A 13,587-nucleotide genomic window follows, 5' to 3' on the forward strand; every position below is an offset into this window, starting at 1 on the left:
AAATGCAGCTGTGTTCATGGATGTTCCAAATGGAACTGCCAGCTGGCTTTTGGTTTATGAGACTTTATTAAAGATTACATTTCTGTTTAGTTATTTATTAGGTGTTTAGCCAATATTTCTAAATAGAGGACATGATGCTGAGACTGGGGCTACATGGCCATGGTTGTGTGAGTGTGCGTGTGTGTGTGTTGTGTGTGTGTGTGTGCACGTATAAGTGCATGTGTGAGCATGTGTGCATGCGTGAGCGTGTCTGCATGAAACAGAGCTTTCTTGTTCTTGAACTTCTGGGGCCCGAGGCGTCCGAATGCTCGAGGAACGATGATCTGCAAAGCAGGATTCCGCAGCAAGTTGGTGCCCGCGGAAGCTGAGCATCAATTTGCTCTTAGGGAATTTTCCATGTTCTTCCATCTCCCCGTTTAGGTGCCAGGTCCCGGCCTGCAGGGTGGGGCTATCGGGCCTCTGCCACCTGCTTCGTGGTGAGACTCCTGGGCGCCCACAGCCTCCGCCTGGCAGGCCAGCCCAACAGAGCCTGTTTCATCAGATGGTGTTTCCAGGAGCCAAATAACAAACACACTTTCTGGAAACAGCCAGGAGGAGCAGCCGTCTCCCAAGAGGGGAAGGAAAACAAGAGGCCGCTGCGGCTCCACTCCCCATGACCGCCTGGACCTGCAGCAGGCTGGTGCAAAGGCCCTGGAGCAGTGGCCACTGCTGTCTGCACACCAGGGCCCAGCCCATGGCCAGACCTGGGGCCGGTGGGTGTGGACTGGAGCCTGGGGCTCTGCCAGCCCCTCCTCTGGTGCCAGGCTGGTCTCCCGAGGCCCAGAGGAGGTAAAAACAGAGTCTTTAATGACACCAGGAGCCATTGGCCTTCAACCACTGCCTCCACAGTCTGGGCACCCCAGCCAGCAGCTTGAGGGCCTGGCCCAGGCAGAGGCTGGGGCAATGTGGGATGCTGTGAGGGCTGCAGGCTCTGGTGGGGGCGAAGCTGCCACCTGCTCAGAGGCCATGGCCTCCGCCTCGGGCACCTGCTCCCAGAACCGCCGGCTGCAGGGGAACCTGCCTCCATCACCCCTCAAGCCCGGGCCCTGATGCAGGGTGAGGGGGGAAGCCTCCCAGAGGAAGATGCAGGCTTGCAGGCAGCTGGAGGTCGTGGCCTGAGCTCTGCTGAGACTCGCGTACGACATTGTGTAGAAAATCTGCTTTTTAAACTCAGCCTGCTGCAGAGATGAAAGGAGGCTCTGTGCCTGCGGCGCTTTGCCGCCCATTGGAGTTGGGTGTTGGCTTTGCATGGGACCAGTGATTCTGGCAAGCTTGGCCTGTCGGCCGGGTCTGCAGCCCTTGCCGGCTAGGGCAAGGTGTGGAACGGGAGCCAAAGACAGGGTCCCAGCCCACCCCCTACAGGGGACCCATGTTGGGAAAGACAGGGTCCCACCCACCCCCCACAGGGGACCCATGTTGGGAAAGACACGCGGGGGCTCGGGACGGGTTCTGCAAAACTTGCGGGGGCGGCCACATGGGGTTCCCAGTATGTGTGACCTGGGGACGCAGCGGCAAGGCAGCTGGCACCATGGGCAGGTAGGTGCAGAGCCAGTGAGGTGCCCAGCAGCAGCCCCGCCTGAGCCTCCAGGCCCACCTGCCTCCTTTCCCAGCCTCAGTGGGGAAGGAGGAGACTTTCAGGCCCCTAGAGTCTGACCAAGGCCCCAGCTCCAGTGCAGGACCCGTTGGCCAAGATGCAGGGGAGAGAAAGGGCCCCCCTCTGAGGTCCTCGGGAGGCTGGGGAGGACCTCTGGGGGCCGCTCAGTGGTGAGGTCTGTTCCGCCTGCCCCTGCCTGCCCCCCTCACTGAACAAGGGCATCCAAGGGCACATCAAAAAGATCCCAGAGTGGCTCTGGGTGGAAGCAAGAAACAGACCCCAAGAGGGGGCTTCACTGCCTCCACCTGGCCTGCTCCAGAAGCCGCTGGCCGTGGGTCTGAGTGCCCGTGGGCAGGCTGGCGGCTGCTGGCCTCTCAACCTCCAGCCACCAGACGGCAGTTGACACAGCCTCCTCCAGGTCCCTGGGCTCCTTTCAGCTCTGTAACCTGGGAAAGAGCTCACAGGGCACGAGCTCAGCCCTGTCGCCTCCAGGAGTCTCACCCTGTATTGTTTGTCTGCATCTTCAGCTTTGCGGGTGCCCTGAGGATGAGGTGCTGCTGCTGGGTGTTTTTTAAAGTGCCTTGGAGAAGGCGGAGTAGCTGGTGCCAGGCCAGGCATCTCCAGCCCTGAGCGGGAGGATCCCTTCCAGCCATGGTCCAGGAGCCCGGGGCTGGGGCTGGTCTGGGGGCTCTGGGGCCATCTGCACCCTGGGGACTGCTCTGGAGGATGCCCTGGTCCCCTGTTCCCTGTGGCAGGAGGAAGGGGCTGTGGGGTGAGCCTCCAGCCCTCCCTGGGTGAGCAGATGACCCCATGTGGGAGAGGCCAGGCCCTGGTGTTTGCACGGCCTGGTCAAGGCCACCCTGGCTGGGCAGGTGCAGGTGCATCTGGAGGCTGTCGTGAGACTCCCTGCCCAGGACTGGACACAGGCTAGACATGCTGCCCTCGCAGACACAGCTCCCTGGGAGCCTCATGCCGCTGGGAGGAAGATGGGGTGGGTGCCATGGGAGGAAGATGGGATGGGTGCCATGGAAGATGGGTATCCTGGGAGGATAGTGGGTGCCCCTGGAGGAAGGCGGGTGCCCCCAGAGGAAGGTGGGTGCCCCAGGAGAAAAGTAGGTGCCTGGGAAGAAGGTGGGTGCCCTGAGAGGAAGGCACCTGGGTATCCCTGGAGGAAAGCGGGTCCCCGTGGAGGAAGGTGGGCACGCTGGGGAGGAAGGTGGGTACCCCGGGGAGGAAGGTGGGTACCCCGGGAACTGTGGTGCTCCAGGAGGAGGGTGAGTGCCCCGGGAACTGTGGTGCTCCGGGAGGAGGGTGGGTGCCAAGGGTCAGAGTTGCTCAGAGCTGTGATTTGCTCAGCCCTGAGCAGCTGGGAACGGGGGTGCTCGGCCCAATGCCAGCTCTGTTCCTGCCCTCTGAGATGGGGCCCTGAGTCCTGTTTCTGCTGCTGGGCTGCGCAGGGTGGCAGGGCGGGGGCCAGGCTGAGGCCTCAAGGCCACCTCCACAGCAGGCGGGAGGGAGCCACTGTCCTGATGCCCCTGCAGCTCTGGGAGCTGGGCCCCGGGCTGCTTCCTCCTCCCCCGGCGATGGGGGTCGCTCACACGAGCCCTGCAGGGGAACAGCCGACGGGGCCGAGTGGTAGCAGCTGTGTGTGGGCCCCTGCATCTCCCTCAGTGGTGGGCTCGGTCTGAGGCAGCACACACAGCTGTGCGGGGCAGGCCCTGGGCCCATCTCACGGCCAGGAGGAGGAGCACAGGCTGAAGTTGCCCCCTGGGAGGTGGCACCGGACTGCAGCCTCCACAGTGGCCAGGGGTGCCGGGGGAGGCCCGGGCCTGTGGCAGACGATGCCACGTGGCTGCTCAGGTCCCACAGCCCTGCTGGTTCAGACGCCAGCGCCGTGTGGACTCTGAAGCCTCGCTGGCCTGGCTCTCCCTCCACCCCACCCAGGGCCACGAGTGCTGTGCCGTAGAGGCGTCCCTTGGGCAGTGGTGGTGGCAGTGGAGACAGCCTGGCCTCCTCCTGCACGCCCTCGCCATCCCTGCTGTGTGGAGCTGTCCCCGCACCGGGCCGCGGGCTGGCAGCAGGGACAGTAGCCAGAGTCTGGCCTGCCCCCTCTGGACCTCCTGCGCCCCAGTCCCCATCTTCTGAGGGTGGGAGGGGTCCCCTGGCCTGGGCCCCATCAGACACCTTCCAGCCTCCCTGGGACGGGGAGAGACAGGTGCACGAGGAGTGGGGCTCAGCCGGGCTGAGCTCAACCTCTGACCCTGCAGGGAGTGGTTTGGGGACCCCCCTGGCCTCAGTTTCCCTCATCTGAAACAGGAACCTGGACATGTCCTTGGAGCCTCTGCCCATGCCACAGTCCTTGACCCACCCTCCAGAAGGTTTGGCAGGGAGCCTGGCAGGATGGTGCCCTGTCCCCTCACCTTGGCAGGGAGCCTGGCGGGATGGTGCCCTGTCCCCTCACCTTGGCAGGGAGCCTGGCGGGATGGTGCCCTGTCCCCTCACCTTGGGCTGGGAGCTTCGCAGGGGGAGCAGCTTCTGTGCTTCGTGCTAGGAGCCTCTTGGGGAAGGCACTGTGTGCCACCCTGCCTCTCCGGGGAGAACAGGGCTGGTAACACGGGCCTGGCTCCCTGAAGACGGTTGGGGAGGCATGGCCAGAGCTGCTTCCCAGGCCAGTTCTGCCTACCTCTCGCCCGAGACAAGCCCTGTGCAGAGCAGCGGCTCACCAGACAGCGGCCCAGGGGGCCCTTCCGTTCTCAGAAAAGGGGAATAGGAACCCTTCACTCTTGTCTGTCCCTGCCAGCCAGGGTTCCAGGGCTCTGGGGCTCTGTGCAGGGTTGGGGCTCGCATCTGTGTGGATCCCGGGAACCTGACAAAAGGCCAGGCTGTGCGGCACCATCTTGGCCGTGGGGCCAGTCCTGGGCGTGACCAGTGCCCGGACCCCCGACCGGGCAGTACGGCGGCTCTGCGCAAACGTCCCCCCTGCAGGGTCAAGCAGAACTGTGGTCGCTGCCAGGCTGCCTGGCACCTCAGCACCTCGGCCCTCACTGCCCACAGGAATCTGTCAGGAGCCCCACCCCGGCCATGAGCTCGGGGGGCTGGCGCCCCTGGGCTGGGCATGGCGCCCCTGGGCTGGGCATGGCGCCGGGCAGAGGCTCATGGATCTGTTGAGTGGATGGACAGACACAGCCCACAGGTGAGCGATGGCCTTGCCAGTGTGGACCTGTGTTCCTGCAAGGCTGCTTTAAATTGCTTTTGATAAATTGATTTCCCACTGACTTGTTATATTTTCAGAAACATTTCCTCTGTTTTCACTCATGACTGAGCTTTCCGTCGGCCGTGGCCCCCACGTGTAGCAGGCACCTGCAGGCTGCCCATCTTCACCACATGTGCTCCCCACCTAAGCAATGCAGAGAGGCCGCTGTGGGGGTCGTCCCTACTCAAGGAAAAGGACTGGGCTGGAGGCTGGAGCCCTGAGTTAGAGCTCCACGTTGGCCGTGGCTGTGCGGTCTCCTCTTGGGTAGGGTGTTGGCCACTTCTCAGGGCACCCGGCTGGAGCCTCATTCACTGTGAAGTGACTGCAGATGTCTGAGGAAGAGGCACCTGCTCCTTCAGGTCCCTCTGCTCACCAGGTACTGGGCACCTCTCCGGAGCTGGAGCTCTCAGTCAGCAGACACTTGGCGGCCAGGGACGGTCAGGCCTCAGAGCAGAGCTGGAAAACAGAGGGCATCAGACAAACATCACGTGGCTCTGCAGGACCCGGGGCAGGGGCCTCCAGGATGGAGAGGCTGGGCTGTGTTGGTGGCAGGTGGCCGGGAGGATGCCCCGGGGACCTCACAGCTGTTGTTGCACCCCTAAAACTCCCTCTGCCCAGAGTCCTTAGGGAGTCCGTGCTGCGCAGGTGCTGGGGCCGCTGTGCGGTGCTGTCCGAGTCACTGTGTGGAGCTTAGCTCAGCGCTTTGCTTTGAGATCAGCCAGGCAGGAATATTTACACCACAGTAACTGGCAAACACTGCACATGGGCAGCCGGGTGTCAGATGGGCACCCTGGCGCTGGAGATTTCACTGGCCAGACCCCCACCCCCAATTCCACAGGAAACCCAAGAGGGACGGTGCTCACCGTCCTCCCCTGGTGGGCTCTCAGTCCATTCCTGGGTCACAGCGGCGCCCCACGCAGGCTGCCCCACAGGGACTCCACCCTGGGCGCCATGCTGGCATCTCTCCCCCAAGTTCCTGTGTCATGGGCATTAACACAGTGAGGACAACACCTCCAGGCACCCATGCTGGGCGTGGAGCATGGATGGGAAGGCCACAAGTCCTGAGGGCCGCTTGTTACGTGGCCTGGCCCCACCCATCCCCACCTCCGTGGTCAGGGAGTTGCTGGCTGCTGCCGTAGAGGACGAGTGATTGCAGGCACCTGTGCGTCTCACGTGTGATGCCTTCTTACCAAACTCGCAAAACCTGCAGAGCCTCGGGTTCCCAGCAAGCTGCCTCTGCCCGCCAAGGAAGAGCATTCTGGAAACTGCCGCTGAGGCTGCTGCGCTTCCTCGCCCACACTCAGCACTTCCAGCGTGACCACCCCTTTGTCCGGGCGGACCCTCCAGTCAGAGGAGCCAGGGCTCAACAGAAACCTGTCCTGGGCGTGCACCCGAATGAACCGAAAACCTGTATTCACACAAAACCCGGGAGTGAATGTGGAGAGATGCTGGTGTGTAACCCCCTACGCGCTGGAGAGAACTCAGGTGCCCATCACCGGCGAGGGGATAAAACAGCTGCGGACCCCCCATACCGCAGAATCTTGGGGGCAAAAGGCACGCGCTGGCACTTCACAGCACAGGCGAGTCCTAAACGCGCTTTTCTAAGTGAAGGAAGCCAGACAGGCCGCATCCTGTGAGACCTCATTTCTGTAACATTCCGGAAAAGGCAAAACTTTGGCGACAGAGCAGAGACGTAAATCGGATCCAAAACCAGACCCTGCAGATTTCCGCACCGCCTCAGCCTAAGCTGCGCGAGCCGAAGCCTGGACCCCGCAAGTACTCATGGCTCTTCTGCCCCGGGGTGTCTGTGACTCCAAGTGCACCCTGAGAAGAAGCCCCCCGTCACTCGTCCTGGGGGCACAGCAGTAGGTGGCCAGGCCAGTGCCCCTGACCACACACACTGAGGACGCTTTCCACCCTATCGGCTTCCTTTCTTGGCGTGGTGGCTCCTGCCCAGTGACTCACGCACAGAGAGTGGCAGGAAGCCAGGGAGGACGGGCTGGCAGAGCTCTGAGCGAGGAGCATGGACACCAGCTTGGGCCAGGGCCTGTGGGGCAGGAGAGGCCGAGAGGCAGCGTGGGCTCTGAGGCTGGGCCTTGGTCGCGCTCGCTCAGCCCGGGGCCTGGTAGCAGCAGGGACGTACACAGACGTGGAGGGGCATCCGGGCAGGAGCCGTGGACATGGGAGCCCCACACGCCTGAGAGCATGGCACGCACCCACGTGGCCACGAGGGGCCAGGACGCAGCCGGTTTGCGGCTGAACCAGAACTGCAGTCGGGGTGTCCTGCATTCCCTAGGCTCGTGCTCCCACCCCCTGCCCACGAGTGTCTGCAGAGGAAGGCGGCCCTGGATCCAGCCGTGGCAGCAGGGGGTGGGTCCGGCAGCCCATGTCCCCGCGTGGAGGTCCCGGGAGGTCTGGCCCCCTGCAGGGCACCCATGCTGGGGCAGTGGATCCCGAGATGCTGAGCTGGGGCAACAGGCCTGGAGGCGCGGCTCTGCACCCCCAGAACTTGGTCTCAGCCCTGAGCTTGCCAGGATGGCCAGGTGTGAATGCGGCCAGGCTGGAGGCCCAACGTCCCGTGCAGCTACTGAGTCAGCCCTGCTCACCTGGAGGCTGCTGCCCCTCGAGGTACTGTTGTCCCGAGCCCATAGTCAGTCCCCGCCTGGGGTCTGGCGTCTGCCCTGCTAACTCTCCTGTGAGTGGGCTGGGCACGGAGGCTGAACGACTGTGTCAGCCCCTGCCCCTGCCCCTGCCCCTGCCCCCTTAGGCCTCCAGGGAGCTGCTCCAGAAAGTCCAAGAGCCAGCACCGCGGCCAGCTGGTCTGTCCTTGCAAGAGGCCGCGATACAGCCTTGACACCCAGGGGCTGAGAAGGGAGCTGGGGAGGGGCTGGAGAGGGGCTTGGGGAAGACCTGGGGAGGGTCTGGGGAGAGTGCTGGGGAGGGGTCAGGGAGGGGGGCTGGGGAGGGGGTTGGGGAAGGGTGGGGCAAGGATCTGGGGAAGTGTTGCGGAGGGGTGGGGGAGGGGTTAGGGAGGGGGCTGGGGAGGGGTTGGGGATGGAGCTAGGGAGGGAGCTGTGGAGGGAGCTGGGGTGGGAGCTGTGGGGGGAGCTGGGGATGGGCTGGGGAGGGATCTGGGGAGGGGTTAGGGAGGGAGCTGGGGAGGGAGTTGGGTGAGGGGCTTGGGAGGGGGCTGGAGGCCACTCAAGTCAGGACGAAGAAGATGCCGGTTTGTGCGGCGGTGCAGGGAGTGCCCTGCCTGCTGGCGTGCCCTTGACACGCAGACAGGGAGAGGCTGAGTGGACTTGATCAGAACAGCCCCTGCGGGCATTCACACCACCTCCTGTGGTCACCCCTAGTGGAAGGAAGGCCCAGCAAGGAGACCTTGACCTCGCTGGCCCTGGGGCTGGGACCGGCGCCCTGGACAGTGTCCACTCTCCCATTTCCATGGAACCACCATCCTCTCGGGCCTCCCCAGCCGCCAGCACACGCCACTGGAGTAGAGCCCTGTGAGGGGCCTGCCGCGTGCAGGGGGAGGGGTGTATCACGTGGGGTGGGACGAGGCTCATCTCTGGGCCTGGGGCCCCAGTACCGTCCTCTTAGGGCAGCGAGCTGCCTCCCAGTCCCCACGACCTCTGCTTGGGATGTGGGGCCTGACCCGTTCCTGCTACCAAAACCCAACTCAAGAGTTTTCCCAGATGCCCCCGGGACCCATAAAGCCTCGAAGGAAGCCAGGTTGGTGCCAGGCCCAGCTCTGTCTCCCACCTGCTAGGTGCCTGCTTGGGCTGCCCCCTCATCTGGAAGGGGTGCTAAGTGCCAGGACAGCGCCCCAGGTCCGGGGCACTCATGAGTGACAGCATCCTCCAGGTGTGGACTACAGGGTAGTCGGGCAACTGGGATCCTGCTCCTGGCCCAGCGCAGCGGAAAGGACAGAGCCAGACCCTCCAGCCACCCCTTCCAGGCTGTCTCCTTGTCCTCAGAGTGGGCAGAAGATCCCTGCCCTCCCCACCTGCCTGCTGTGGGGTCAGCTAAGACAATGGGTGTGGGACCCTCCACAAGAACAGCCCCCTGTTAACAAAATGAGACTTGAAGGAGTGAGAGCACTTCGGGGGGCCGGGTTTGTCAGGCAGAGATTGCACCAGGCAGGGGGCCGAGACTTTGGAGAGGACCTGGCTGGAGCACTCGTCTGCACACAAGGAAAACAAAGGCTCAAAGACAGGGCAGAGTTCAGACCCTCCGTTCCCAAAGTGGTGCCCCCCACCCCTCCCAGGACTGTGTCCACACAGTGGTGCCCGCCAGGGTGGGCAGGAGGTGTCCATGGACATGACTACAGCAAGGCCAGGGGCCGAGAGGGAAGGGTCAGGGAAGACTGGCCAGCTCGAGGGGATCACAGAGGCTGCCCTGGCCTTGTTCCTAGCGGACAAAATAGGACTGACAGCTACAGACAAAGCCAGGCACAGCCCAGCACAAAGACAGACAGCCGAGGAACTGTGGTGCCCCAGTAGTTAAGGGCCAGAAAGAACATTTTTAAAGATGTCAGGGTTGGCTGCCAGAATCCTCTTGTACAACATTCCATGACTGGGAGTTGTTGGGGACTTGAGTTCCAGGCTGGCTCTGCCCAGCCTTGAAAGCCTGGCTGGGCCTCGGTTGCCTCCTTGGAAAATGAGGGGCTAGACTGAGGCCCTGGGGGTCCTGGCTGTGCCCAGAGCCTGCCGTGCCAGGCCCACGAGGAGAGGTCAGGGCTGGGGGTGCCGAGCCAGCTTCCCCAGGCTCCGGGTCAGGTTATCCAGGTGGGAGGGAGGCCTAGCACCTCCCCCACTCCGAGGTCTGGCTTCTAGAATCTCCTGCAGAAACACAAACCCATCTCACTACACTGTAAACACAACATCCTTGGAATTGGAAATCAATGGCAGATGCAGGCAGATTCAGCCTCCAAAGCCACAGAAGGGCTGGGAGCGGACCGGAGCCAGGAGTTGCCACGGGAGGTGGGTGCCTGGGAGCCCCAGCACAGAGGTGGCCCCTCTCAGGCCAGGCTGGGCCGCAGCATCTGTGGGCCCCTCCACGCCCCCTCCCATCCGTGCTGGCCCCATTGGCCTGGGCTCGCAGCTGGACTGCTTCCTGGGTGGAGGCACCAGGGCCCACAGTGGTACGGCCTGGCATTGGTGCAGGCTTTTAAGCATAGATGGCATCTTTAACAAAAATGGGCTCTCACAGAATGTTTTTAAATTAAAATGTAATTCACATACCTCGGAATTTACCTCTTGAAAGTCCAGGCAGTTCAGCGGCATCCGGTCCACCCCCACTGCGGTGCAGTGCCAGGGTGAGCCAGCCACCCCCGGCGGGAGAAACACCATCCCCACAGCCGGCGCTCCTGTGCCCCCTCCTCCCAGCCCCGGGCAGGCCTCGCCTCTGTGCGTTTCCCATGGATGAGGTCATAGAGCGCGTGGCCTTCCGTGCCTGCCTCTTCCGGGCAGCAGCATGGTGGGTGTTTCTGAGGCTCCTCCGTGTCGCTCCACCCGTCAGCACTTCATGCCTCTCGGGGCTGGGCCACATTTCGTTGCAGGGATGGGCCACGTTTTTAACCTGTCCATCAGCGGACGGACGTTTGGGCTGATTTTATCTTTTGGCTATGATGAATAACGCGGTGATCAACATTGATTCACAAGTTTTGTGCGGACCCGTTTTCAGTTGTCCTGAGTATCAGCCCGGGCCTAGACTTCCCGGGTTATATGGTGATACAGTTTAAACGCATGTCCTTGCCAAGCCTCGTGTTGAACTGTCATCCCCCGTGTTGGAGGTGGGGCCTGGGGGCAGGTGTTTAGGTCACGGGCGTGACTCCCTCAGGAATGGCTTGAGCCATCCCCGTGGTGAAGAGTGAGCTCTCACTCTGGGTTCCTGTGAGATCTGGTGTTTAAACGTGTGTGGCACCTCCCCGACCCCGCTGCTCCCGCTTTCACCACGTGACTCGCCTGCTCCCCCTTCACCTTCCACCATGAGTAAGAGTTTCCTGAGGCCTCCCCAGAGGAAGAAGCCCTTATGCTCCTGTACAGCCTGCAGAACTGTGAGCCACTTAATCCTCTTCTCTTATAAATGACCTGGTCTCAGGTATTTATAGCTCCATAAAAACAGCTTAACACGTATGGTAACTCTGTGTCTAAGCATACAAGATTAAAAAAATACATTCACACCGTCTTCTGTATTGACTTCCATGGTTACCTTTACTAATGTTTTTATTTCTTCAAGTTGGTGTGAGTGGCTGTCTAGTGTCCTTACATTTCAGCCTGTAGACCTCCTTGTAGTTATCTGGTCTGCTAGTGATGAATTATCTCAGATTTTGTTTAAAAACTGTTAAAAATATTGATATATAGTATGTATACACACACACATATATATTGTATTTATATTTAGAATTTTTAATATATATAGTTTTATATATAATACATGGTATTTATATAATTTTATTTATATTTTATCATTTTATTTTGTTTATTTATTTGTATTAATTTCTCCTTCACTCCTGAAGGATAGCTATACTATTATACAATTCTCGGTTGGCAGTCTTTTTCTTTCAGCACTTTGAATATGTCATCCTACTGCTTTCTGGCCTCATGACTTCTAATAAGTCATCTGTTAATCTTATTTAGGATTCCTTGTATGAGATGAGTCCCTTCTCTCTTGCTATTTTTAGAATTCTCTCCGCTTTTCACGTTTCACAGCTTGATTATGATGTGTCTGGGTGTGGGTCTCTCTGAGTTTATTCTACTTGGAGTTTGTTGAGCGTCTAGGATGTGTAGATTAATGTTTTCATCAAAGTTGAGTTGGCTGTTATTTTTTCAAATATTCTTTCTTCCCTTGCCTCTGTCTCCTCTCCTTGTGGGACTTCATGATGTGTGTGTTTGTGTGGTTGATGGTGTCCCGGAGGTCTCTGAAGGTCTCTGTTCATTTTTCATCATTCATGTTGTTTTCGCTGCTGTTCTGTTTCTCAAGCTGGACAGGCTGACCTGTCTTCTAGTTTGTCCATTCTTCTGCCTGCTCAAATTTCTGGTGAGCCCCTACAATGAAAGCTTCATTTGAGTTATTGTACTTTTCACCTCCAGAATTTTTTTAAAGAAATAATTTACATCTCTTTGTTGTATTTTCTACTTGGTGATACACTGTTCTCATACTTTCTTTTAGCTCTTTATACATAGTTTCCTTTAGTTCTTTGGACCTATTTAAAGCAACTGATTTAAAGTCTTTGTCCGTAACTCTAATCTCTGGGCTTTCTCAGGGACAGATTCTATTGTTTGCTTTTTTCCCCATGTTTGAGACTTCTTAAAATTTCTTTGTATATCTCTAAAACTCTTTTTTGAAAACTGGACATTTAATATAATAGAATGTTGTAATTCTAGAAATCAAATTCTCTTCCCTTCCCCGAGTTTGTTGTTTCTACTTGTTATTGTTGTTATTTGTTTAGTGATTTCTGGACAAATTCTGTCGAATCTATATTCTTTATCATGTGTGCCCACTGAAGTCTCTGCTCGCTTAGCTTAGTGGCCATCGAATAATTGGGCAGAGATTTCCTTAAGCATCTGGAACTGAAGAGTCTCCGTCTATGCTGAGGAGCTCCGTACAGTGATGGGGCATGCCGTCAACACTCAGCCAGGCAGCTGTCAACTCTGCCTCAGCCTTCACTGCCTGCCTAACGATTAGTGGGAGATGAGCACGTGTACAGCCCTGGGCATGAGCATGGCCTTTGAGGTTCCCAGGAGTATGCAGGAGCTTTTCAGATCTCCCTATGGATGTCTCATTCCCCCAGATTTTCCTGTTAAACATTTTTGTTAGCCTATTTCCCCCCCCAACCTGTTATCCACTGCCTCAGGCACCTGCAATGTTAAATAATTGCCTGGTTTTTTTTTTCTTCTTCTTTTTAACAAATGCCCCTGGGCTGTTCCTACGGGTTAAGCTCCGAGTCAATCAGGCAAAGATAGTCTTGCAAGTAGAGTCTTCCACGGAACAGAGAGGCAGCTCAGATAATGACAGTTCTCCGGGAAGAGGCTTTGGGGGAGCTCGGCTTCAGTTCTCCACCCCAGTGGCTGCTAGGATATTGCTTTTCACTGAAATTTCATTCCTCACTGCAAATCTTTGGTTAATTTCCAGAGGTCTGAAAAAGCCGATTCTGATCATTTTTGCCAGCGTTCTCATTGCTTTCATCAATGAGGCTTTTTGGACGTCCTTATCCTGCCATTTTGCAGTCGTCATTATCTAGAATTTTAAAAACAGAGGTAATACTGACGTGAAATAAACACACTTCTAAAGCATGCAATTTGGCAAGTTTTGACATGTGTACACTTATGAAAACATCATCACAATCAAGATAACGAACCTATGCAGCACCCCCAACATTCCCTCTTGTCCCTCTGTGCAACCCCATCCCCCTTCTGCTCTCCGAGTAACCCCATCCCCAGGCAACCACTGATCTGTTTCTGTCACTATAGATTAGTTTGCATTTTCTAGAAACTTGTATCAGTGGAATCATCCAGTATGGTTTTTTGTTGTTGTTGCTGTTGTTGTTGTTTTGGTTTGTTTCTTTTGGTCTGGCTCTTGTCACTCAGCATGATTATTCTGAGATCCGTCTGTGCTGCTGTGTGGATCAATGTGGCATATTCCTATTAGGATTCCATGGTATGGAGAGACTGCAATGATTATTCTGAGATCAATCTGT

At 58.3% G+C, this 13,587-nt stretch overlaps 2 long non-coding RNA genes across 2 annotated transcripts, besides 1 other annotated feature; both read right to left on the minus strand.

The window, feature by feature from the left end:
* Positions 1–47: 47 nt before the first annotated feature.
* Positions 48–888, minus strand: LINC00165 (long intergenic non-protein coding RNA 165). The gene has a single exon (NR_170266.1). It is a non-coding gene; the product is annotated as a long intergenic non-protein coding RNA 165 (long non-coding RNA).
* Positions 889–4,893: 4,005 nt separating this feature from the next.
* PICSAR (P38 inhibited cutaneous squamous cell carcinoma associated lincRNA) lies at positions 4,894–10,413 on the minus strand. Its single transcript, NR_024089.2, has 2 exons — positions 10,130–10,413; positions 4,894–5,342 (listed from the first exon to the last, which is right to left on the minus strand). It is a non-coding gene; the product is annotated as a P38 inhibited cutaneous squamous cell carcinoma associated lincRNA (long non-coding RNA).
* Positions 8,494–9,035: an enhancer, noted in NCBI's record as "H3K4me1 hESC enhancer chr21:46422723-46423264 (GRCh37/hg19 assembly coordinates)". NCBI's record gives its function as "activates a minimal SCP1, AML or CMV promoter by ChIP-STARR-seq in naive H9 embryonic stem cells {active_cell/tissue: H9 hESC(naive)}" and the evidence as "EXISTENCE:reporter gene assay evidence [ECO:0000049][PMID:30033119]".
* Positions 10,414–13,587: the final 3,174 nt, after the last annotated feature.

Source organism: Homo sapiens, chromosome 21 (genome assembly GCF_000001405.40).
Source record: "Homo sapiens chromosome 21, GRCh38.p14 Primary Assembly".
Classification (NCBI taxonomy): domain Eukaryota; kingdom Metazoa; phylum Chordata; class Mammalia; order Primates; family Hominidae; genus Homo; species Homo sapiens.